At 38.0% G+C, this 27,066-nt stretch overlaps 2 long non-coding RNA genes across 5 annotated transcripts in view, besides 1 other annotated feature; one reads left to right on the top strand and one right to left on the bottom strand.

Annotated features, from left to right (window-relative positions):
- Positions 1–13,843, top strand: part of LOC105375138 (uncharacterized) — a 121,035-nt gene extending 107,192 nt beyond the window's left edge. The window contains exons 3-6 of one of the 4 annotated variants that reach the window (XR_001745076.2): positions 558–686; positions 5,691–5,914; positions 12,011–12,072; positions 13,464–13,843. This is a non-coding gene — a long non-coding RNA (uncharacterized LOC105375138). Of the gene's footprint in view, positions 1–557; positions 687–5,690; positions 10,965–12,010 lie in introns of those variants that run through there. The other 3 variants (XR_927009.3, XR_927010.2, XR_001745075.2) reach the window with 3 other exon arrangements.
- Positions 3,084–6,999, bottom strand: LOC124901584 (uncharacterized). Its single transcript, XR_007060203.1, has 2 exons — positions 6,962–6,999; positions 3,084–3,398 (listed from the first exon to the last, which is right to left on the bottom strand). It is a non-coding gene; the product is annotated as an uncharacterized LOC124901584 (long non-coding RNA).
- Positions 7,615–7,732: a transcriptional cis regulatory region, noted in NCBI's record as "candidate enhancer chr7.922 targeted for multiplex CRISPR interference". NCBI's record gives its function as "positively regulates C1GALT1 gene expression with high confidence in K562 cells {active_cell/tissue: K562}" and the evidence as "EXISTENCE:mutant phenotype evidence [ECO:0000015][PMID:30612741]".
- Positions 13,844–27,066: the final 13,223 nt, after the last annotated feature.

Below are 27,066 nucleotides of genomic sequence, written 5' to 3' on the forward strand. Positions count from 1 at the left end.
AAGAATGACCCAATTTGTGTGATCAACTTTCACAGCTGGTTCCCAATCATTGAGTCACAAAGTAAGAAATAATCAAGACAAGATATAAGCAATTTTATGAAAATTCCCCCACAATGTGATGAATTTATTGATGATCATCAACAGTGAAATAACCATGCTTAAAACTCCCTGTTCTATATAAATTATTGAACTGACAGACACAGGCATGTGACTTATCAAAGAAAAAAATAAGTATGCTTTTTAGCTAGAATGCCTGGGGAATTAATGAGTTCAAAACTTAGGGAGATGCATTATTCTCTCTTGTTAAACAAAATGAGACCGTATTTATGGGTTAATATTTGGCAAAGGTGTACAACTACCATCAGAGATGGCTTTGAACAGTCATGGAGTCTGAATGCTTTATTTAGCAAAAATTGTACAAGAACCCTATTAGAATACTAAGGCTACAAAATTCAGAGCAGGTAACCTTGATTTATACGTGTAGGAAAAATAAGTCTTTCAAATGTCAGAGTCTGGAGTTTTCTGCAATTAAGTCATAATTTTTGCTATTTTTACAGGTCAACAAGAAAACTCAATTCCTCTTCAGGAAGTTAAGTGACTTAAAGATTACATAAGAGCTAAGAAGACAAGCCAGCTAAGCATGTTCAAGACCGGGCTTTTTGAAACTGCACTAATTGATCATAACGGTGTGAGTTTCAAGCCCCTTCATAGCTTTCCTATAGCTCACTCTGTGCCTCTCCCAAATGACAAAAACAAGGCAAACCCATAGAGTATGAGTTTACATCATATGCAAAAAACACAAGTCCAGAGTATAGAAAATGGAAGAAGAAAAATGAAATCAATGAACTTTAATATCGTTAAAGTTAACACTATATCCATGGAACTTTGATCTGGCATAGTTTTTTGCCACATTTTATTTAAAAGATTTCAATTTATGCATCCTTTTCCACATCTAGGTTATGGATTCTGGCAGATATAAGATTGTCTCTTATTTAATCTCTGTATCCTTAGCAACTAGTGATATACCTAGCACAGAAAAAGCACTCAACACATTTGATGAATGAATGTGATTGTTCTGTTGACAAAAGGATAATAATCTCTTGACTAGAAAAAAAATCATTCTAAAAATCATCACATCAGGGACTAAAAGAATTTGGGAGTTTATTTACTGTTGTTCCTCTTTGTTTAAACACAGCAGGCCCTCCCAAGTATCCTATTGCATCTGGCCCACAAGATCTAGTTGCAGAGATAAATGATTCAAGAAAATTTCCCTGGCTTACTCCCCATTTATACCAGATCCACTACTTTTGCTTCCATCCTCCATTTCTCTGAATTCAGGGCCCAGTACCTCTGACTTTGATCAATGCTTTGGGCTCCTTCAGGTTTGATGACTGATAGAAGTTACCCTCTGGTTCATGAAACCTCTGCCTCCCACATGACTCTTGTCCTAGCTTGCTTCACAATGATTATGATTGTATTAGGCTCCATAAATACCATCATGATAATCAAATCAACACTCTTAGAGGGCTAACTGATAATGGCAATGAATACACCATGAATTCAATGGAGACACCTGTCTGTCATTACTTGTGTAAACGATACTCATTAGTGGTTCTCTGCCTTGGCTGTTCATGGGAAATACCTGGGGAAATCTAGAAATATTGATGCTTACCCCCATAGATTTTAACAGGATTGGCTTGGGGGAGGCCTGGCATTAGAACTTTTTAAAAACTTTCAGCGGATTCTTACATAAAGTTTTCAAATCACTGCTTTAGGCTGAAAACCTAACTGGTGCAATTTTTTCCATATTGCAGAGAATAGACATTACAAAATGAAAATGAAAAAATTTCCTAGCTTTGTGTTCTAGTTTCTTGTCTGTGTATACCATAACATTTATCTAAGTATTGCTAGGTGAATGTAGGTTGGCTGAGATGACATGTTAAAAATTTCCCTGGAGTAAAATGAGCTATATTGAGTGGATAGGTTTGAGACATGTTAAAACCAAAAAATCCAAAACGTTAATGCCATAAGGATTGATTCTTCTCTCTAAAGTGAGAACCAGGGGAGAATGTTCTCCTCCACTTCCTATCTTAACTGAAGGCTGAAAGCTGTCCATCCCCACTCCCACCCCACAGGATCAACAAGAACTGGCATTCTCTGACTGTCCCCTCCCACTTGCAGGTCATTTGCCCAGGCATTGGCTATTTCGAGAGCTGTCTGTCTGGAGACATAGGGAACTTAGCTGTTAATGGAGGGACAAATGCCAGCCCTGGGAGCTGACTCATGCCTAAAATATGCAGAGGGAGCCCAAGGGAATGCAGGCTTCCTTTCTCTTCCTTTCTATTTGTCTTTAAACAGCTGATGGGGAAGCTCCCTTGCTACAGGCAACTGAGAAATAGTGCTGACTCAGCTTCTGTTCCAAGGCTCAAGAGATAAGGGCATAGCACAGCCCTGGGTGCTGGCATCTTCAATTTTAACTCCTGTTTGCCATTTGTCCCTCTCTCTAGACCATAAGTGTCTGCTTATATGTTGTGCCAAAAGTAAAGCTTCAATTTCTAGAAGAAAAGGAGAGTTTATTACATTTAACAAAAATGGCAAACAATACTGTAAAAATTGCATACCATGTACAGTTTAAATAAACTACATATAGTATATTTGGCTTCTTTCATTAGGCCTCATTATTATGGTTGTCTTCGATTTCTCCATTGATAGTGATCCTCCCCTTGGATAGTCCTGGTTTGAGGCCAGGGCAGAGCTGGGAGGAGAGGGGTCACTAACTGTTCACAGCTTGCACCATCCCTAACATGAGATTCCAAATGAATTTTGCCACAGCCCAATTCTTACAGACCCTTCAGGCTGTAGCAGTGTCATTTAAGACACCTGGCTCTTCTCCAGAGACACATTCGAACAGGCATTGCAATCACCTTGCTGGCAGAAGAAAGAGGAGATAGGACAGTCCATTAGTGGCTAGAGCTGCAACTTGAACAGAGTCAGAGACAGGCAAAAAGAAGCAGGTAGCCCACGGGCAGGCAGCGAAAGCTGACATTCTCTCTGGACAGGGCTATGTCACAGGAGAGCTCACGGCAGGGCTTGTGTGGATTAAGATGAGGGTTAGAGATAAACAGCAGACTCCTCAGTATCTTGAACAGCAGGCCTCAGCTTGCCTTGTATGTGGAGACAGCAATGAATGGGTCTCCTTGGCAACGGAGGCATGCATGCTCAGCAGGACTACCGGGCAGGCATCTGCAAGCCTGCGATGAGTGTTGGTGTCCCTGCCCTCTTCTTCTTAATGTTCATGTCATCTAAGTATACCGCCCTTTTACTCCTCTTCACTGCTGTCATCTACTGCCTTCAGATCACTGTCCATCATTGCGTAGAAATCTTCTCCACCACAAATCCTGAGAGATTTCAACCTCTATTTAGATAGCCACTGAGCAATATTGCTTTGTAATTCCTGAGTCTCCTTTGCTGCATTGCATTTCAGCCTCCTAATCCAAGGAGCTGATCTGGGATCTTAATATCCTCCAAATGCCCCAATTCAGAAATCCTAACTCCAGTTGTCCGGTCTCAGATTATCCCCTATCCTTTCTGCTGTCTCTACCTTCAAACCATCTGTTCACAGAGACTCCTAATTCCTTGACTTGTTCTTTCATTAAGGTCTAACAGGATCCTCTTAGCCTCTCTTCTTCCATTACACTGGCCAGACCCCTTCATTCTAAATTACTACCTCACCAGAAAGATCAAAACTTATGATCAATTTTACAACCTACCTTTTCTGATTCTAAACTCTGGTGTTGCTGCTGCAAGTGCACACTGGCACAAAGTTACTATACAATTCATTTGTGCTTTTCAATCTCAGCCTAGCCCTGAGCAATTTGTCAACCTTCCTGTTTGTCTTTGACCAGGTTCTTCATCCCACTTCTCAATGGCTCTCAGTTGACCACCTCATCTCATACTTTATTCACAAAATTGGCAGTGTCAGTAAAACATCCTATATCATCCTACTCATACACATTACAAAGTTGCCTGCCTCCTCTGCCCAAGTCTCAGAGGGCAAGTTCTTCCTGCCCTCATCACCACTGGGAACCTACTCCCTCCTGCTCCCTCTGCAATTGGCTTCATCAATCTTTTTCTTGTTTTCCTTTACCTTCAACCTCACCTTCTTCATTGAGCCCTCCTCTAGTATCTACAGACCTGCTCATGTTCCTCTCAACCTAACATTTTATGCCTTGTATATTTCAAAGGAAGCTAGAAATGCAGATTTCTTGAGATACCTCTCAATTCTTAACTGTTGGCAACTATTTTTAAAAAATATTGTAAACACTGGTGAGGGAAACAAAATGAAAATTTGGGCCAACTTGGTCCAAAGGCTGTGGATGAGTGCCCATGGATTCCATGGCTGAATTTGCTTGGTTTTCTTTGGGAATCTTTGGTTTTTGCTGCTGGTGGTTGTTTGTGAGCCAACCTCCCTCTGCCTACTCAGGTGTTCATCCCCAGCCCATGAGTCTTCTCTTACTACACAGTCTTTCTGAGTGACGTCCTAAGTCTATATCTCACACTCTTACCTATGCTTTTGTTTCTGACTTCCATTTCCAGTTCCTGCTATAGCTGGAAATCTTACAAACACTTCAAAGTCCACACCAGCCCTCCCATCACCCCCAACCTCTATCCTTCGCTAAGCCAACACCTACACATAATTTAAGACTCAGCTTCCCTGAAACCAAGCTGCCCTCCTCTCCATTTCTCTCTCAGGATTGGGATACCCCTCCCATGTCTTCAGAACATTTTTATAATTATACTTTCTAGAAAGTATTATAATGATCTGTCTTGGTATCTGTCTTACCCACCTACAATGGGACATGTCAATGAGCAGGGGCTGTGTCTCATTAATCTTTGTAATCCCAGCTTCAAGCATAGTGCTGAAATATAGTAGCTTCCTATTAAATGCTTGGCAAATTAATAAACAAACAAGAGAAAAATGCACTAAAACAGAAAATTGTCATATGCCCACAGAACACATTTCCTATGTTATTTTTATTTATGGTCTCTGTTACATAATTCGTGTTATAGTTAACGTAAAATTTTGGTATTTTATCAGAAAAAAATATTTTCCCTTGTTACTTTTTAAATTAAGAAAAAACTTAGACTAGTCAAGTGCAGTAGAGAGAAGGCAGGGAAGAGTGGAACAACAAGTTCAATCTGTAACTATGAACAATCAATTGAGATAACTCACTGCCTTCAGACCAGCCTTAATTGTTATTTTGTAAAGCATTTATTTGCATGATAAAATAAAACTTTATTACATTCAGCAATAAAAAATATAAAACTGAATGATGGAAGTCAATTAATAAGGTAGGATTTGCCAAATAAACATACAAAACATAATGATACACATTTCTTTTATTAAGTGAGAGATTTACTAGGACAATTTTCTACCATAAAAATGGAAAAATTAGGGTTTTTTGTTTTTGAAATTATTTATTTATTTATATGTATTATTATTATTATTACCTTTTTTTTTTTTGAGACAAGGTCTTGCTTTGTAGCTCAGGCTGGAATGCAGTGGCACAATCATGGCTCAGTGCAGCCCCCGGGTTCAAGCGATCCTCCCGCCTCTGCCTCCATGAGTAGCTGGGACCACAGGCGGGCACCACCACGCCCTGCTAATTTTTCTTTTGTGTTGTTTGTAGAGACGGGGTTTCACCATGTTGCCCAGGCTGGTCTAGAAGTCCTGGGCTGAAGCGATCCGACCGCCTCCCAAAGTGCTGGGATTACAGGAGTGAGCCATCTCGCCCAGCCGAAAAAGTGTTTTTTGATCTTAAAATCTTACGTGGAATGAAAGTGAACAATGAGGCAATGAAAGTGGAAGTTTCTCTTAAGCAAACACAGAAGTCAACCATTCCAGCTTTCTAAGGTACTGGTAATACTCTTTCGTCTATTTTATTTTATGGCATAATTTTAAGACTCCTGTGAGCTATGTCTTTAGGGGAAGTTTGGGAAGGACAGGCAGAGTGTCAATACTAAATTAACATCAGTTTAATTTCCGCCCATGGTTATCTGGGCCTCATTCCAGCATTAAGACTTTCAGAAAAAACATTGAGATAAAGCTGTCTTTTTATACCAACAGGTGGCAGTATTGCTTTGAAACAAACGACAGCAACGACACCGTACTGTCCCATTTTAAGAAACTTCTAGATCCATTGCATTTCTAAAATCTTACACTTTTATTAGACTTCGCCTTTTTAATTTAATTTTATTTGTATTTATTTATTTATTTATTTATTTATTTGGAGACAGGGTCTCGCTCTGTCCCCCAGGCTGGAGTGCAGCGGCGCGATCTCTGCTCACTGCAACCTCTGCCTCCCGGGTTCAAGCAATTCTCCTACCTCAGCCTCCCGAGAAGCTGGGATTACAGGCATGCACCACCACACTCGGCTAACTTTTTGTATTTTAGTAGAGATGGGGTTTCACCGTATTGCCCAGGCTAGTCTAGAAGTCCTGAGCTCAGGCAATTCGTCCACCTCGACCTCCCAAAGGCTAGGATTACAGCGTGAGCCACCGCGCCCGGCCTTTTTTTTGACCGTCTGGTGGCTTTGTCTCCCAGGTTGGAGTGCAGTGGCGCGATCACAGCTCCCTGCAGCTTTGACCTCCCGGGCTCAAGCGATCCTCCCACCTCAGCCTCCCGAGTAGCTGGGACCACAGGCCACCATGCCCAGCTTCTAGGCTTCAACATGCCCCCCAAAATGACAGTGGAATAGCCAGATGCGGTGGTGCCAGCCTGTAGTCCCAGCTACTTGGGGGACTGAGGTGAGAAGATCGCTCACCAGGAGGTCGAGGCTCCAGTTGGCTGATTGTGCCACTGGGTGACAGAGCCAGAACTTGTCTCAAAAAACAAAACGAAACAAAAGTGGATTAAATAAAGCACAAACGTGGTATTTGAAGAAAATTAAAAAGGACTCACCAATATCGCCCGTTCATTCAGAGCCTTGCCTTTGGAAGAAACACACACTCATTTATCTTCCCCCAGGAAGGCCTCTTTCCTATCAAGTAAACCTAGAGTGATGATTAATGCAGAAAAACAGGCCCCGTGTTGCAAATGATAAGTTTGCTTCTCTGAGAACCTCCAGATTAGGTTACATTCAATTCACTAATCTAGTCTCCAGCCTGGCAAAAATTTACTGTGAAAACGTCTTCAAGTAAGTTTCTTTTTTACACTGACTGTTGGGATAGGACTGGAATCAGCGATCACAATTTGATCCTAATTTGTTGATGTTCCCTTAATTTTTAAAATTTTTTGCATGTACATGCACTCATGTAACCATCACACTGATTAAAATATAGAATATTTCTAGTACCTAAGAAGGTTTCCTATGCTCGCTCAAACTTTAAAATCAGAAAAAAATATATTTCTCAATTTGTGTGTTTAAAACCAAAACAAACAAATACAAAACATGAAGTAGAAGGGTTGGGGATGTGAAAGGAAAATAAAAGTTGGGGTCCCCAAATCACTAAGCTAAAGGCAAAAGTCAAGCTGGGAACTGCTTAGGGCAAACTTGCCTTCCATTCTGTTCAAAGTCACTCCTCTGCTCACTGAGATAGATGCATATCTGATTGCCTCCTTTGGAAAGACTCAAAAGAAACTCAAAAGAGTGTAACCCTCCCTCCGTCACCTATCTGCGACCTGGGAGCCCCCTCCCTGCTTCAAGTCTTCCTACCTTCACTTCAAGTTGTCCCGCCTTTCCAGACCGAACCAATGTACTTCTTACATATATTGACTGAAGCCTCATGTCTCCTAAAATGTATAAAACTAAGCTGTGCTACATCACCTTAGGCACAAGGTCAGGACTTTCTGAGGCTGCGTTACAGGCACATCCTCAACCTTGGCAAAATAAGCTTTCTACTCAAATTTTCAGGGTTCACATTTTGGTAACCATGGAGGGATTCTTAGTGGAGATGGCCCTGACCTTTGACAAGTCTCCTATTGGTGCTTGATACCAGCAGGAGCTAACTTTATGGCTCAAACCGAAAGAACAATTTGCTAAGGTCTGAGGGCACCCACTCCAGAGAATCCCTGATTTCCCCAAATTCAGTCATGACCCCAACTTTATTTTGCTGTACAACTCCTCTTTTTCTTTTGAGTTTTACTTGCTCCCAACACAAGGAAGGCAAGTTTTCTTGCTTCCATGACGTTGAAAGGCAGGTAACTCCTTCAAGGAGTTTGAGCTCGCTTGCAACAGAGAAAATGAGCTTGGTTTTTTGTTGTGGTTGTTTTTTCCTGCTTCTAGGGTGGTAGAGAGCAGTCTACAGCCTGAGACCCATCACTAGGTAGGAAACTGGTTTGGGATTCTATCTTGCAAACTCCTTTTAAATGACTAAAGTTAGCATTTAACAACCAGCTGGTGTTAATTTCTTCTTAATACTTAGAGCGCTCAGAAATAGTATATTTTTGTGTGATCATTGTTAGTTTAGCAGCATTTTGTCCTAGTTGAAATATGGTAATAAGATTTAAAAAACATTTTTAAAGGAGCTCAATGTTAAAAATCAACTTAATTAAAAGGCCATCCAAGATGTGTGTATGTATGTGTGCATGTATGCATCTTTGTATTTGAAAGGTCTTCAAGTTTTTGCTTTTTGTTTGTTTTTCTCTCCTAAGACCTTGTCTTTTTTTTTTTTTGAGCAAAAGTTTTTTTTTCTTTTTCTTCTCAGTTGACTGAATTCTGTTTTCACCTGATTTTTTTTTTCTTTTTTACTAAAATAGTTATTGCAACAGAGGCTACTGTTAAGTTTTTAAGAAAGAGTGTAGTTTAATTTTATGTTTCATTTGGCTCAAAATAAAATAAAAAACATCTCCCTCTAGGACCACCAGACTCTTTCTCTCTGTACCTTATGATGTAAATTTTGCTATTTGATTTTCACCTGAGTTGTTTCCTTTAGTGTGCAAATTTAAGGCTATTTAGCTGACAACTGCCTAGGGTTGTGAAACAGGCTATCAAGAATCTGAAAGTCTAAGATAGGAAAAAAAAAGAGCGGGGTCTTTATAAATCTATAAAATGTACTTCCATCGGCATGCCTAATACATCTTTGTATGTATTTATGCGCTGTGTACAAAATGTTTCACTACTAAAAATATATAAAAGAGCTCTAATCAATTGGCTTAAAGGAAAATAAAAGCTCTTAAATCAGATACTAAAAAATAGACTAGTCAAATGCTTTTTCAAGTTTATGTAACTTAAATAAAATCTTTAACAAATAAGCTAGCTTTAAAATTATTGGTAAAGTAATATTAGAAATGTCTTAAGAATTGCCAGCATACAGTTTTTGTTTTGCATTTATTAATCAAGCAATTCCATACTTATCCCTGCCAAATGCTATAAGGTGTCAAAATTTGGCATGGGATTACGAAACTATAAAACCAGTCCAAAACAGAATGATTTTTGTTTGTGTAATTTTTAATAAGTAAGACATTGATATGGGTTTAATGAAAATAGCTGCATCTTGAATTTAGTAAGATTACCATAATTTCTAATCCTGTGGCTTTAGGCAGTCTAGTCCACAGGCAATAAGGAAGTTTGTTTTGGGAAAGGACTGTTATCATTTTTGTTTCAAAGCTAAACTATAGACTAAGTTGCTCCCGAAGTTAGTTTGGCCTATGCCTAGGCATGAACAAGGATAGCTTGGAGGTTAAGAGCAGGTTGGAGTCAATTAGGTCAAATCTTATTTTCACTGTCTCAGTTATACATAATTTTGCAATGGCAGTTTCATAACTTTAAATTCATGACTATCACAGTTTTCATAAATAATCTAGGTAGACAATTAAAATAAAATAGATAAATGTAATGGGATAAATACTTGTAGAAAACTGGTCATAATTTCATAATTTAGAATATAAAGTTATATTAAATTAAATAATATATATTTCATTATTTGGGTATTTTCCAATAAATATATATTGTAGGAAAATATTCTTGCAAAAAAAAGTGTGACTTTTTAAAAAAAAAAAGGTGAAAAATTTTTGTCTAATTCGAAGCTTATTTAAAGGTTATATATAAAACAAGGTAAAAGGAACCATGAAATAAAAAGAGATGTAAAGTTATAAAAATAAAGAGGTATTTTTGTGTGTGTGTGGTAAGAAAGCTTAAAGAGAAATAATTTTATATGAGAAAGAATCTTACATGGTAAACTTCAGTCCTAAAATAAAATGACTGGTTGTTTAAAAAGGAGGCATATTCAGGACAAATCAGAAAGTCCAAATATTAAGTTCTGGTTTGCTTAGGGAAAAAAACCTGAGATTAAAAAAAAAAATTTTTTTAAGGTTATTATATCCATGTATTTTCCTGTATGTTCTTTTAAAGTCCTTGTGACATTGAGTTACAGGGTTTTGACTCCTGGATCTAAAAAGGACACAAAGTCTTGCTAAATCTTAAACACCAACAGCAATTAAAGCCTCATCTTCAGGCCCTGTAGAAGATGCCAGTCAAAATAAACTGCATTTCTGCGACACAGGGCAAGAAATTAAAGCTATTTCAACTCCTCAAGGCCCAGGGACTATCACAGAAGAGATGGGCACACACGCAATATTGTAAGGGCCAATTTTGAAAGATAAAATAAGTTAAGCTTCTTTATAGATGAATCATTAATGTCAAAGGCACACTGATGGAAGACCAGCATATGGGCCCCTGTGTCAGATTAACAAAGTTTTCTCAAAGCATTAACCAACTCCTTAGTGAAGGTCATAAAGATTATAAAGTGCTATGGAAGCTATATCTTATGTTCAAGATTAAAAATTTTATAGATTGTTTATAAAATTTTGAAAAACAAATTTAATTGGATTCATGCTGTTTTTATTAGGGCTTATTGTTTGGAAAATTAAGTCTCTTCTCAAAGAATAAAGGTTCTTGCCTTTTTTTTAAAGTCCAGAAGTTATCACTTTGGTTAAATGAATGACTTATTTTACAATGACCTGTGATCCTATTTTATGATATCAAATGTTTAAAACCTTTGATATTTGACAAACTTTCCAAAATCAAATTATAAATTATGTCTTTTTCTGACCTAATTAAAGCTTTAACATATTAGGTTCCCTAAAGTTCAGAAAATAACATAATTTGGCTTATTTGGTACAAAAATCATATAGGAAGCATTGTCAAATATGAAATGGTGTTGGGTTTTTGAGGGCTGCATTTTTAAAATATGTTATTAGTATGTGTTCCAAAATTATGGGAAATTCCTATAATTCTATATAACTCAGTGTACATTATCAGTAATAATCATAATTGTTATGTTAAAATTATTGTGTGCCGCAGAGGTAACAAATGTCCTTTTCAACTGTGTTTTTGACTATGGCTGTCCTAAAACTTTTTGTCATCCATGGACAATTTTTGTCTTGTTTTGGTCCTCTTTAGAAGGTGGCTTTATAATCAGCTACAAAACTCTAACAGGTGCTCTTGAATGCAGGTTTCTGATAACTTTGGAGATTGTGACATCAGAATAGAGGAAAAACTTTCAGGACTCATGGAGAGCTATAAAATATTCATGAGTATCAAGCAGAACAGGAATTAACTGCATGGACTGAACTGATCTTTTTGACTTTTTGCTTAAAATGTTGCTGATCTTTTGTTTTGCTTTTCAGAGTCTTAAAACTTTTCTTTTGAGCTATTGGCAGCTTTTAACAATTTAGTATACTCCCATAAACAAAGTTTGGAGCATATTTGTTTCTCTTTAGCTGATTTCTCCAGAATTTGGAAACTATTTGTAAGTATTCTTAACTCATGGCAATACAGTTATTTGCATAAGTGCAATAAGAATCTGTTTTCATTAATAACAGACCACAATTGGAGAAACTGCTTATTTTACCAAGGCTTTGACTGGAATGGTGTGCTTTCGTTTAAGGAATCAAACTTGACTTATGGAGCCAATAAAGCCCTTGAAAAAATTGGCCTCATATTTTGTGTACACAGTCCCTGTACAGGGTTTCTGACCTGTGGTAAGTAAAGAATGTCACTTCTAACAGGCGTAGAGGCCCCCGGTTTATCTTGGAACCTCAAGAGGAGAGAAAATTCACCCAACTCACAGGTATTTGATGGCACAAATCCATGGCTGGGCTCTGCTTTAAAAACATCTTATCTGGTATTCCTTCTATGGAACAAGGTTCCATCAAAGCCAATATAAAGCCTATGTAAAAAATAATTTTTTTTGCACTGTATATAAGTAATTAGGCCAAGTATAATAAAGCAAACCAATCCTACCATGATTTGTCTTTAGCAAAAATGGGAAACTGGAGAGAGAAAAATTATGTTTCAAAAACAATTGTACACCTGTTGTTAGATTCTAGTCTTGTCTAATGTTTTTCAATTTTTATTATTTCTACAGTTTGGGCTAAATTCTAATTTTCTCTTGACTACAAGTCTTCAAAATAATGTTTTCAATTTTTTTTTTCTTTTTTTTCCTTCTTTTTTTTTTTTTTTTTCAATTTTTCCTAACTGGGAGTCACTGAAAACCAAGCTGTGCTTTCTTAAAGCCCTGCAAACTGAAACTAGACAACTTAAAGTTCAGAAGAAAATAACAGCCACCTATTTACATGCATAAGCCACTTTCATACCTGCTACTGATTTATAGACTTCAGAGTAGTGGGGCCTATATTGATTTTCCAGGAGTGTTCTTTTGTTTGTTGTTTTTCTCCCTTCTTCTTCCACTATTTGCTCTTCTAGGAATAAACCATCCTAGCCATGAAAGATCAGGTGAAACCTGAGACCAGAGACTAATTTTCTAGTTAAATGCCATCTCCAAAATATTTTTAAAAAGAAAAGAGGGTAAATGTGAAAGGAAAACAAATCTTGAGGCCCCCAAATCACTAAGCTAAAGGGAAAAAGTTATGCTGGGAACTGCTTAGGGCAAATCTGCCTCCCATTCTATTCAAAGTCACCCCTCTGCTCACTGAGATGCATAGCTGATTGCCTCTTTTGGAAGGACTAAGCAGAAGCTCAAAATAATGCAACCCTTCCTGTCTCACCTGTCTTTTTACATATATTGACTGTACTTCTTATATATATTGATTGATGTCTCGTGTCTCCCTAAAATGTATAAAACTAAGCTGTACCCCAGCCACCTTGAGCACATGTTGTCAGGACCTCCTGAGGCTGTGTCATGGGGACATCCTCAATCTTGGCAAAATAAACTTTTAAATTAACTGAGACCTGTGCCAAATTTTCAGAGTTCACAGGAAGAAAGACAACCCTCCTTTATACGTTGCTCTGGGCCTCTGCATTGCCTGGATGGGAACTCTGGGATAGATGCTTTTAGAAGGGTCTACTGAACCCATGAGCCATTCCCTTCTCTGGAAATGGCTCCCCAAGTAATAGCTTGGGCTTCTAGGAATCCTGTTGGTAGTCTGTAACTCCCTACTCATCTGGATATAGTTAATTGGAAAATTTGACCTAGTTTGAGCTAATCATTTTTCTTCTCAGGAATGTGGAATCCAGACCAAAGGAAAGCCAGCCAGTCTATTTTCATGGCTGTTAGGTACAATTTGTATGCTTGGGAGCTGTGGAGTTGCTGTATTCTGTCATAAGGGCAGATCAGCAGAGAAAGCTAAAGCAAGAGGAGAATAGTAACATGGACACAAGGCAGAAATGCAGAGATCAAAGATGGAAAGAGAATATATCCCAGATTCCTAATGGCTTTCCAAAACTGATCCCCTTCTTTCTTGTTCCCCAAATACTGCCCTCTTCATATGGCCCTTAAATTCTTGTAATAAATTCTCCCTTCTTTGTTTAGGCCATTTCAAATTGGTTTCTGTTTCTTGCAACCAGACACCTTAAAAAAAATAAACTCAAATTTTCTTTCATGCTCCCTTTTTGCATGGTAATTAAGAGCATAGAATGTGGAGTAAAAGAGATAAAACTTTAAATTTCAGCTCCTTCATTCACTAGTTGAAAACCTAGTAGAAAAACTTAATCACTTAAACTCTCTGAGCTTTAATTTCCATATCTGGAAAAGGGGAATACTTTTAGCTATCTAAAAGCATATGGGTGTCAAACAAATATAACGACGTATATAAAATGCTAATTATAGTACCTGGCACAAAAGAAATACTTAATTAGTGGTAATAATGATTACATATTTATTCAATAAATACTTATCGATTACTAACTATACAAAAGTTAGATGACCTGAAGTGTACAAATATATTCAAGATTTAATCTCTGCTCTCAGACATGTACATAAATATCCATAATAGAAGACATTATAGAATAATAAAGGGTACATGAATGTTTTTAAAAAACAAGGACTCTAGGTCATAATCAAAGAAATGCAAATTAAAACCACAGTGCAATGCCATCAGAATCAGAAAAATAAAATAGATTAAAGGCCGGGCATGGTGGCTCACGCCTGTAATCCCAGCACTTTGGGAGGCCAAGGCGGACGGATCACGAGGTCAGGAGATCGAGACCATCCTGGCTAACATGGTGAAACCCCGTCTCTACTAAAAGTACAAAAAATTAGCTGGGTGTGGTGGTGGGCACCTGTAGTCCCAGCTACTCGGGAGGCTGAGGCAGGAGAATGGCATGAGCCCGGGAGGCGGAGCTTGCAGTGAGCCGAGATCACGCCACTGCACTCCAGCCTGGGTGACAGAGTAAGACTCCGTATTAAAAAAAAAAAAAAAAATAGATTAAAGATTTTTCTAATTTTTAAATTCTTTTTCTTTTTAAACATTTTTAATGTAGAAACAGGGTCTCACTATGTTGCCCAGGATGGTCTCGAACTCGTGGCCTCAAGCAATTCTCCCACCGCAGCCTCCCAAAGTGCTAGAATTATAGGTGTAAGCCACCACATCCAGCCAGTTTAGAGATTTCAAGTAATAGTGAGGATGTTGAACAACTGGAATTCTTGTACATTAATGGTGGGTATGTAAATTGATATAATCACTTGGGAAAACTGTGTGGCAGTATCTACATATGCATACCCTATGACCCAACAACTCTACTCTTACCTCTATACACAACAAAAGTGCATACATACTTTCACCAAAAGAAATACATCAGAATGTTAAATGTAGCAAAAAGCCAATCGACAGATGCATAACTAGATTGTGATAGTATGCACACAATGGAATACTGTACCACCACAAGAATGAAGCATTCACAAATAACTATAACAATATGAATTTCATTAACATAATGTTAGGAGAAAGAAGCTAACATAATGTTAGGAGAAAGATCCAAGAGAGTACACATGTTATAATTCCACTTTTATAAAGTTCAAAATTAATCTATACCCTAAAGTGTGAGTTGTAGTTACCCTTAGGTGGGAGTAGTGACTGGAGAAAGGGTTTCTGGGGTGCTAGTAGTGTTCTGATTCTTGATTATTCCAGTGTGTTCAGTTTGTGAAACTTCTTCAACCTGTATGCTTACATTTAGGTAAGTATGTAAGGAAGTACATGTAAATTATACTTAAAGTTTTTAAAAATTAAGCTTAGCCAAGTATAGATAAAAGTCACTTCTACCTGGAATGACAGTACAACTGGATGAAGGAAATCACATTTCTTTTCTTTTTTTTACTTTTTTTTTTTTTTTCTTTGAGACAGGGATCTGGCTCTGTTGCCCAGGCTGGAGTGCAGTGGTATATTCATAGCTCACTGGAACATCGAACTCCTGGGCTCCAGTGATCCTCCCCAAAGCACAGGGATTAAAGGCAGGACCCACCTCACCCTCAGATCTCACCCAGTAAGAAATCACATTTGCATTAGGCCCTCAAAGGTGGGCAAGTCTTCCTAGGTAGAGACAGGGAATGAGCATTCTAGAAAAAAAGGAATGGCAGAATGGCACAAAAGCAAAAGCACAGAGGTTTGAAAAAGTAAGGAGCATTTGGAAAATGACTAAATTAGCCAAAGAATAAGATTGGTAGAAGAAAGTAGGAAAAAAGTTTCAAAACTTATCTAAAGAATTTGTTCCTTATTCATTGGGCAACAAGGAGCTAGTGAAGTGTTATGTTCTATTTTGTTTGAAGTGGAAAACAACATGATCAGATCTATACTCTGAGAAGATCAATATACAGGAGATAGTGGAGGAAGAAGAGCCTAGAGGTTGGGTAGGGTAGCATACAAGGAGAACATAGGACCCTTTGTGATCCGCCCCAAACTGTCACTGAATACTCCCATTTTTCTAAGAGATAGTTTAATTATTTTTTCTGTCTCTTCTCTTTTTCCTTTTTCCAACTTCCTACTTAGCTCTTTAGAAATGCAATTATAGCCTTTACCACCTCTTCAGCAGATATTCCTCACAGGGCAAATTCATCTAACTGTGTGCTTAGAAGCTCCAGAATGGAACTCTTACCCACCAGGAGGTTGCCCCGAGAGATAACAGTCAATTTACAATCCAAAGTATGCCCGCTAGAGTTTTTGGCCACCATTACAACTCATTTCTGCCCATGAAGACACCAGCTTGACAGCCTGATAGATAAGGCACCAAGCTAGCACAAAACCCCTCACCTGCTTGTGTCCTCCTTTGCCTTTTAAAAGTGCCCACTTTCTGCTCCAAAGGTGAAGCAGTATACTTAAGGACGGAAGCCTGTACTTCTTCCCCTAAGCTAGTTTTGGAATAAAAAGGCACTTTCTTTATACCAGACCTTGTTCTTATTAATTGGACTCTGCAAGCGGCGAATGATTGAACCTGCACTTCGGTTGCATGACTACCAACCCATCTCTTCAGCCTCATCCCTCACCCAACCCCACCCAGCTGCAAGCCAGTCATCCAATCACTTGCCGTTCCTTGAACAAACCAAGCCCTGCTGGCTTTGCACAAGGGCTCATCCCTGCAGAAGACCCTTCCTCTGCTCCTTCATTACGCTTAAGCTGGAAGAGAGACAACTTCCTTCCCTCCAGCACGCCAGAGAGCTTTTCCATAACATGAAGCAAAGCCTGCAGGTGCAAAACTTGTCTTTAGGATTCTTAGGACCAAAGAGTGAATATATAAACCACATAAGGAAACACAAGCTACAGTTAGCTTTTTTCCTTAAATTGTGTGAAAACTGTGAAGGAAAACAAATCTGCTACTAATTTTTAACATATTAATTCACAAACAATAAAATTGCATATTGTAGTTACTCCTGAGCCTCTCATCACTTTGAGTAGTCTAACCAGGATCTCTGTAACCACAGAAACATGTAGCTGTTTCTATAATTAAAAAACACCAGAGGTCACCTCAAAAGACAACCCCAGACCCAATTTTATTTTGGTGCACAACATGCTATGCCTCCCCCTTTCCACACTAACAATCAGAAAGATTCTCCTTGGTTATTGCCAAGAAATTAGAAATGAGATATTGCATCATTTGAGTTATTTTTACAGACTCAAGTTGTTCAGTGCATGAAGAAAATGTATAAGAACAGAAGAGAATTATCTCGATGTTTTCTAAGATTCAAAAGGAAACAGGAAAACTCAGGTAATCCACAATCTTTCAGGCCATCTACACAATACACACCATTAAGCATTGTTAAGTGCAGTCTTCTACAAAAGCAAATATTAGCCCAAGTAACACACATGCACGGCAGTGGCAAAGGAGAAGAACAAATATTTGTAGTGAGGTTTCAATGCCAGAACCAGCCCAGAGAAAGAGGAAGAATGGAAGCCAGCTAATGCCTTTTGCCCTGCCGGGAATGCCTGTTTTTCCTAGGTCCTCCATCCAGCTTATTACTAGTCGTCTTTCAGAATACATCTGTCGTAGGTCATCTCTTATGAGAAACCACACTGGACCCTGCCTAGTTTGAGGAGGGCTCTGCTGGAGTACCAGGGCACTCCATGTGTTACACTAAGCACAGCCGTTGCTACTGTGAAGTGACTGAAGATTTCCTGGTTAGCTCCCATTCTGACTTGGAGTATCTTCAGGATAGGCACTGTATCTTGTTCCTCCCTCAGTCTCCCATGCCTAGCAAGTTCTTCCCACATTAGGGCCCAGCAAATTTGAATGTCTGCCTCAGGTTCCTTTTAAAGCTTTTGGCCTCTTAAGCTGGTCCTGCAAGATCTTAAAAGAATATAGCGTGATCTGCTCATTAAGTACTACAGTCAGGACTTGAAGGCATCTTCTATCTCTGAAGTCCATGGTTCCCCGCCATAATAATATCACTATTTTCTTTACACTGTTTTAAAAGACAATGACACAATCTAGATTGCAAATAATAAAATATAGGATTACTTTCAAAAACTTAGAAAATACAGATAAACAGAAAGAAAAAAATCACTCAGAATCCCATCTCTAACTACAATCACTATTAACATCACAGTACACACCCTTCAAGATCTTTCCTCACATTAAGTCATTACATATAGACATGTCCAGGTTGGGACCGGGCTTATGTGCAGGAATTGTTCTTTACAGGGTCAGTGCCATGACTGCAGTATTGCTCAAAAGAGACTATTCCTTGTTCCAGCTAAAAAATTTCAAAAATTTGTGGGTTTTTTCTTTGTTTTACCCCTCACCAATTGCTTTAAACAGGACATGACTTTTCATTTTGTACCATGTATTCCGTACCTTTCTTATATCCTAAAGTTTTTCAAGCTCTCGATGATAAACCAGGCCAATCCACCTCAGTCTTCACCCAAACAGCTCCCATCTGGAGTCCTCAATCCTCCTGCTCCAATGTAGGCTATTGCTCTTCCTGCTGCTGCCAGCAAATGTCCTGAGGCCTCAACGCCCTGCTCTCCTGGGTTGGAGCGACTGCTCCAGCGTCCCCTACCTTTCTCTTTCTTAAATTATTCTGTCATTGCTGAAATCCATCCTCAAGGAACATTTTTTAAAAGGGTATATTGGAGATAAAATTTCTAATACTTAAATATTTGAAATGCCTTTTTCCTCCTATTGATTGTTTGGTTGGCCAAACAATAGCATAGCATAGCAACCTGTATTTTAAATTACTATATAAATTACTATTTAAAACAATAGCATCGCAACCTGTATTTTAAATTATTTTTCCCAGAACTTTGAAAGCGTTGCTCCATATTTTTCTTAGCATTTCATGATGCTGATAAGAAGTGTGATGCTGGTAATTAAGTCTTCTGTTCCCCTCTCTCTCATCTCAGGTTTTAGAGTGAGTTGGGTTTATGTGTGTAATTGCTAGATAAAAGGGAATGTGTATATTTCACTGTAGTGGGCCGAATAATGCGCCTCCTCCTCACACCCCTCAAAGATGTCCATGTCCTAATTCCCAGCACCTGTGAGTTTGCTATCTTACACAGCAAAAGAGATTTGACCGGCATAATTAAGGTTACCGACCTTGAGATGGCGAGATTAGTTTGGATTGCCTGAGTGCACTCAATTTAATCACACAAATCCTTGAAAGTAGACAACTTTCCTGTCTGGATCAAACTTGAAACAGAAGGAGGAGATTTGAATCGTGAGAGGGACTGGAGCTGTCACTGCCGGCTTTGAAGAGAAAAGACTATAACCATGAGCCAAAAGTACAGGCAGTTTCTAAATGATAGAATTGCCCTCAGCTGATAGTCAGCAGGACCACAGGCAATTTGGATTTACATATTATCTGCAAGCAACTGAATTCTGCTAGCAACCAGAATAAGCTGGAAACGGATTCTAGAGCCTAGAAACCCTAGATCCTAGGACTAGATCATAGAGTTTCCAGAAAAGAACACAGTCCTGATGACCCTTTGATTTTAATCCAGTGAGACTCGTACCAGACTTCTCACCTACAGATCTTAAATTAATAAATTTGTGTGTGTCTTTAAATATGTGTTGTTTGAAGCCACCATGTTCGTGGTAATTTGTTACAGCAGCAATAGAAAACCACTTTTTAAAATAAATGCTGCCAAAATTTCATCCCCCAAAGCTAAATTTATTTATACTTATACCAACAGGTGATGAGAAAACTCTTCCTCAAAACCTTCACTGACAAGGGATATTTTCAATATCTTGATTTTTCCAAGCTGATCCTGAGAAATATTTCACTTTTGTTTTCATTTGCAGGCCAGGCCTCTAATTTTTTTAACAAGGTTGAGCATCCTTTATATATTTGTTTAACACATTCTGTTTTATTTGGAATTACACCATTTTGTAAAAGTCCTATCCTGGCTAACAAGGTGAAACCCCGTCTCTACTAAAAATACAAAAAATTAGCCGGGCGCGGTGGCGGGCGCCTGTAGTCCCAGCTACTGGGGAGGCTGAGGCAGGAGAATGCCGTGAACCCGGGAAGCGGAGCTTGCAGTGAGCCGAGATTGCGCCACTGCAGTCCGCAGTCCGGCCTGGGCGACAGAGGGAGACTCCGTCTCAAAAAAAAAAAAAAAAAGTCCTTAGATTTCTAAAATTTCAAACTATTAATAGTTATACTATGACTATGCATATAAAAATATGTCCTGTTTGGTATTTGTTAAACACTTTTAATTTAATGATTTATATCTCCCACACTGGAAATTATTTTGCATAGTAAACACTGTGGCAGAATCTGCTAGCTGCCTAGCTGAATATCAACACTCCCCTCCTTAATAAGCACATCTTGATCTTTTTAACATCATATTGCTGCCCAGAATAAAGGACTACATTTCCCAACTTTCCTTGCAGCTAGGTTTGGCCAGTGAGATATAAACGGAATTAATGAAAAGCTTCTTAAAGTTAGCTCCCACAGCTTAGAAGGGCCTTTCCCCACGTCACCCTGACTTCGCTTCTTTTTCTCGTCTGGATTTAGGCTTAAAGGATGCAGTTACAGCAGCCATCTCGAACCATGAGGTTGCCGTGCACATGGAAACCTTTTAGCGGGGGGAGTGGTAGCTCAGCCTGTTTTCCCAGCACTCTTGAGAGGCCAAGGTGGGAGGATCGCTTGAGCCCAGGAGTTTGAGATCAGCCTGGGTAACATAGTGAGACCCTCTCTACAAAAAATAAAAATATTACCTGGACGTGGTGACTTGTGCCTGTAGTCCCAGCTACTTAGGAGGGGGAGGTGGGAGGATCGCTTGAGCCAAGGAGGTCAAGACTACAGTGAGCTATGGTCACACTACTGCATTCCAGCCTAGGCAAGAAAGCAAAACCCTGTCTTAAAAACAAGAATGAAACAAACCATTTGGTAGATGATAGAATGGGAAGGTAAGGGCCTGGTGATCCTAATGCCTCACTGAAGTCACCAATCCACCTCAAAATTTTCTTTTATGTGAGTGAAAAACTTATGTCTTTTCAATCTTCTATCATTTTGTGATTTTTCTATTGTATGCAGTCAAATCCATTCCTAATACAGAATTCTCACAGTGATCTGTTATGTATTTTATCTGCTATCTTTTGATCCCTCTCTCTTTTTATTTTCCAGGTGAGTGCCTTGATTTCATCTTTAAAACTTTTTTTAAAAAAGTTCTGCAATTATAATTTCATTTTCTAAGAGTTATTTCTTTTTCATAGCATGTATTTTCTTGTTTTGTGTATGCAATAGCTTTTCAAATCTCAGAAGTCACTAGTTGGAAAGTCTGTCCTATTTTGAAGTATACTTCTGTTCTCTGAATTCTTTCCTTTGATGTCACATTTTTCCCGTTGGTTTATCTTGGGTTTTCCTTTTCATGTTAGAGACTTTCATCTGATGTTTATTGATCCTTGGTTACTGCTCACACTAAGAATGAGACAATAATGGGGTAAATTTACATTACATGCCTTATCACAAGATACGCACTGAGGAAAACACTGACTTCAGTGGTCTTCCTGCCAAAAGTGCATGACCTGAATTTAATCATGAGGAAACATTAGACAAACTCAAACTAAGGGACATTCTACAAAATAATTGACTTGTCATCTCAAATATTAATACCATGAAGCACAAAGACTAGGAGATTGGGCCCCATTAAAGGAGATTAAAGACATAAGACAACTGAATGCAACATGATCTAGAAATTTCCTTTCCTAAAAAGGACTTTTTAAATAATCAGCAAAATCTGAATAAGGTCTATATTTAGATAATAGTATTATATCAGTATTAATTTCCTGCATTTGATATTCTTCCTCTAATTATGCAAGAGAATGTTTTTAAGAAATAAGCACTGGAATATCTAAGTATAAAGGGGCATCATGTCTACAACTCTGAAATGGTTCCACAAAAATAAATTGCATATCTATCTATTCATCCATCTATCTCTCTATATATCTATGGAGAGAAAAGGATAAAGTACATATGTTAAAATGTCAATATTTCAGAAACTTAGGTATACTATATATGGGAATTCTTTGTACTTTTCTTCCAACTTTTCTGTAAATCTAAAATTATGCCAAAATGAAGCCTTTTAAAAAGAATATGGCCCATATAAAGATTTTCTGGGAGCTTTGTGGGCATAGTCAGGACTGGTTAATGACAGGCTTCAATAGTGTGTGTGTGTGTGTGTGTGTGTGTGTGTGTGCAGGCATGAAGCCAGCTGTAACTCTGGGAACCTTTAAATGCCAGACTTAAGAGGTATTTACTCTAAGAGTGCTTTCCCTTGCCATCTGCCCAATTTTTTCCTGGGCAATGTCTTAAGATTATTTAAACCCTCTAATTTTTGGCTTGGGGCAAATGGCTGCCTGCAAATCCTTTCAGTCCAATTTCTCAAACCCATTTCCCACTCTATCTACTACAGCCTTTCTGGGTGTCTGCCAGGACAGTCAGCTTCATGGTGCTCCCTTGGCTATGGCTGTCTCTACTCAGCTTCATCAATTTTAAGAAAACTTCCAGAAATGTATTGCAATCTCTTGTCTACCAATTATTCCCTCATTCTTTTTATTGTGCTGTTTTTGTTTTTTTTCTTTATATACTTTATTTTTATTATTTATATAATTTTATTTTTGTTTTTATTCTTTATATATTTTATTTTTGTTCTTATTCTTTATATAATTTTATTCCTAAGCATGTGTTTCATCAGCCATCTTGAATCAGAATTCTTTAGATAATTTAATGTTAATTTTTATCTGTAACTGGTTATTCATTATTTATGAACGCATACTTTTTTTTCTTTTTTGGTGTATCTGATAATCCTTCAGCTTTTCAACATTCCATATTGTCATAATATGGTATCACTACGGATCATATTGGATTCTCACCCTTGGTACTTTTTGTCATATTATTATTCATTGGGCCATTTAGTCAACATATATAATTCTTTCATGTGCATTGTCTTCTTTAGCTTCACCTCATAGATATTAAGTTTGCTAAGCCCAACGTCAAGTACATTATTTATTCCTTTCTTTTACCTAAAGTAAATATATACCCAGAAGAATAAGCAGTCCAACACATTACGTGCTACCTCTTCTTCCCCGAGCCATGGATGATTAGGTCAGGTATCTGCTCCAAATGGGCAGCCAATCTGTTGGTTTATCAGAGACCTCTGATTGGTATGGCTTGACTAGAACAGATGATCTGCATTAATCAGATTCCCTCCATCATTATTTTAAACTATAAAATACAGAGATTGTTACGAGTCAGGGTTGGACACTGGAGTGGCAAAGTCAGCTTAGTGGTGGAGGAAGCCATTTGCAAGCTGATGAGTAAGCAAATGAAATTGATTTTTAGAGAGATGAAAGTGGTATAGTTGTGGAAAAAGAAGCTGAGATTAAGTGAGAGACAATTAATATTGGTTCTAAACAGCTTTCTACTTTGTATGAGGCCCAGTTTCACACAGTTCTGTGATATATCTGTAACACTGAAATTAATCATCTTTTCTAAGCTAGTTTGAGTGAGTTTCTAATTCTTTCCAACCAATAAAAAAACCTTTCAACTTTTAATTTTATGATTTTAATTTCCTGTTTTTGTTTTTCAAAAGGGAAAGAATTCTTTATTAACAAAACTGTGCATAAAAATTAACATCTATACTAATTATTCCACAGTTTTTGGTTTTTTTTTTTTTTGAGACAGTCTTGCTCTCTCACCGAGGCTGGAGTGCAGTGGCACAATCTTGGCTCACTGCAACCTCCACTTCCCGGATTCAAGTGCTTTTCCTGCCTCAGCCTCCCTGAGTAGCTGGGATTACAGGTGCATGCCACCACACCCAGCTAACTTTTGTATTTTTAGGAGAGACAAGGTTTCACCATGTTGGCCAGGCTGGTCTCAAACTCCTGACCTCAGGTGATCCACCCACCTCTTTCTCCCAAAGTGCTAGGATTACAGGTGTGAGCCACCACACCTGGCCCATTCCACAAATTAAAGTGTCAAAGAATTAGAATTTTTTACAAATCCTCTGATAGAATATGGAGTCTTCTTCACTAATCCTTGACTGTTTTTACTGAGTTTAATCCCATCACTAAAGTAAAAGTTTATTTTGGGGAAATTTGTTTCAAGAATCAAGGATCAGGCACAATTTTCCATTGCAAGCTCGCCTGTCAGAGTTGCTACAAAAAATGGATTAGGGAAATGCCATGCGTCCTCCGTTTCCTTCATTTATCCTTCTTCTTCTTTCTCCAGAAGCAACAGGAGAAAGACCCAATGCCTTCAATGTGTTTCTGTAGTTGCTATTGTGAAATTATGACCTTTATATGCATTTTGGCCTTTGAAGCTAGAATTTCTTCTTGTTTTTACATCAGATCAATCAGATATATTATAGGTTTTTAAAAGAATATATAGAATTATAAAAATATCCAACCAGGATAAAATTATTTAAACACACTTAAACAAATCTTAATTTTGAAAGAGGGTTACACAATAATTTTACAAAAGTCCTCCAAAGTGAGTTCCCAAATGTAGGGACCATGTCTTTTAATTCCTTTGTATGTTCCCTCCAAAATGAAAAAACAAAAAAAGATTCAGAGTTATGCAACTTTCAGCTGTCCAATAAATGTGGTTGAATCGAATCACTTCAATTACCAGAAGAAAATTATATTAAACTTCCGTGCCAAGTTTCAATTTGAAAATACTTTTAAAGCAATGTTTGGAAATGACATTAAAATTTTTGAGTTGCAAAAGTCGGCAATTAAGAAAAGTGCTCCAAAATAAGCACGTCTCATCTCCTGTGAATAAGCAGTTTACTTTGGCAATGGCAGCAGCTTGTCTTGGGTGGATTCATAATATCCCACTCCATAGCTGTTAACTTCCAAACCAGTGAGAGATTTATTTTTTATTCAACTATCTAACTGATTGCTAAAGCTAAAACAAATGTGTTTTCATAACAACAATTTTTTCCACTTTAAAATAGTTTATGTTCATAAAAGAAATTTTTGAAAAGTATGACAAAGTTGGAAAAAGAAATTATCTAGAGTTTTATTCTCCAGCTAGATCCACTTTTAATATATTCTTTTTATTATTTCCTTATTGCAGTCCAAAAAATACACGAATTGCTTTTTTCATAAGATAATCTAATCTGCATGAAATGTTGAGTAACTGATTATCTAAATTACAATGTACCACTTGTTCGTGGATTCTCCCAGACTTACTTCTGTGTTCTAGATTACAGTTGCCCTGCTGAGGGAAACGCTTTGGCCTCAACCACAGGATGTTCAAGTATATATATGTTGAGGAAAGAGAGGGAAGCATCCAAAAACAGTGCTTCTCAAATTTTTCTGCACTTAGTAATCATCTGGCAATCTTGTTAAAATGCAGAGTTGGCATTTTAACCTAGAGTGTAGGATAATTGATGGAAATTTTTGCCTTAATACATCTATCTACCATTAAGCAATTACCCCAACTCTAACCCATTTCTGGGAATACATAAGAGTATTTTTCATACCTGGAAAGTTTCCCATAGTCTGAGGGTGGAGTAGGATTTATTTATTGCAATGCAAGTGAAAGTGTTGAGCAACTATGGTGAGTCCCTCTGCACAGGAAACCTTCCAAGGTTCGCAAAATACTTGTTCATTTCTTCTCCCTTGGTAGTAATACATATCATCTCTGGGCACGTAGCTTCCTAGAATAAAGTTGGCATTTCCCAGCTTCCTTTGAAGCTGGATGTGGCCATGTTACCAAGTTGCTGCCAATGGGATCTAAGCAGAAGCATGTGTACAAGCCATGTTTTAGGATGGCAATTATATTTAATTAAGATATTTTGTTTGTCCAATTCAGGTTAAGTTACAACCCAAGAGCAGTCAGCTAAAATTTCAGTTGAAAGTTTGCACTCCAGAGGTGGCATTAATGTTCTAATTAAAAAGCCTATATCATAGAAGTGATTGTTTCTGTCATTCATATCTGGGTCTTTGCTAACATTCTCAGTGAATTTCAGAAATGGGCTTTTAAGGGTGAATAAAATTAACAATCTACTAATGAATGCTAGATAGGAATTGTCATTGGCTAAATTAATGATATTTAAGGTATAAGGTTAGTGAAAATATTTTAGAGACACTCTCCACCTTTGCAGGAGTAGAATAAAAGAATCCAGTGTGACCTGTGGCCTATGGTTTGTACCTTTAGGAAAAATGCCCGTGGCTTAATCTCTAAATGATCCTGGGTTCGGTATTTGGTTTTAAGGGCTTTTTAGCTCCCTGATGCTGACTACACAGATAAGAGATTCCTGCTTCTGGAACGTTGTCATAACTGCCTTGGTTCAATTTTTCATGTCAGGTGAGATTAGAGATTGGAGGAAGGAGAGCCAAGGCTACCTTCAACTGAAAGAAAAGACTAAACTATTCTTATGCTTTCTTATAATTAAATGTTTTGTTATAAATGATTGCTTTTGTGGCAGAATTTGTTCTGTGACTTGCTTTCCATACAGCCTGATAGCAAGGTTGAAGAAGCAGCTGATACTTTCATCTCAAATCTAGTATATTCTGCCAAAGACACCCTAAGAGTTGTATGGGACCAAATGGGCTTGTGTCAGTCCACAGTACAGAACAATGGGGTAGAAAAAGATAGGTCTCCTAAAATGCTCTGGACTGCTCTCCTCCAGACAGGTTGTTGTGTCCATGTTGTGTCCAAATTGAAAAATAAATTTCCAATGTGTGCCAACCTTTATCATCCTATGTTTTCTGTTATTCATAGCAGAACCTATCTGATAGTCCTGTTGGCCCCAGTCACCATCACAGGGAAAACTTCCCATGGAAAACTTTCATGATTTAACCTCCCCCTTCCTCAAGCTTGTCTTGTCCTCCTCTTTAGTTTAGGGTTCTCTCTTGCCCCTCCCTCCCTCTACTTTTCAGATAC

The sequence above is a fragment of the Homo sapiens genome, chromosome 7 (genome assembly GCF_000001405.40).
Source record: "Homo sapiens chromosome 7, GRCh38.p14 Primary Assembly".
Classification (NCBI taxonomy): Eukaryota; Metazoa; Chordata; class Mammalia; order Primates; family Hominidae; genus Homo; species Homo sapiens.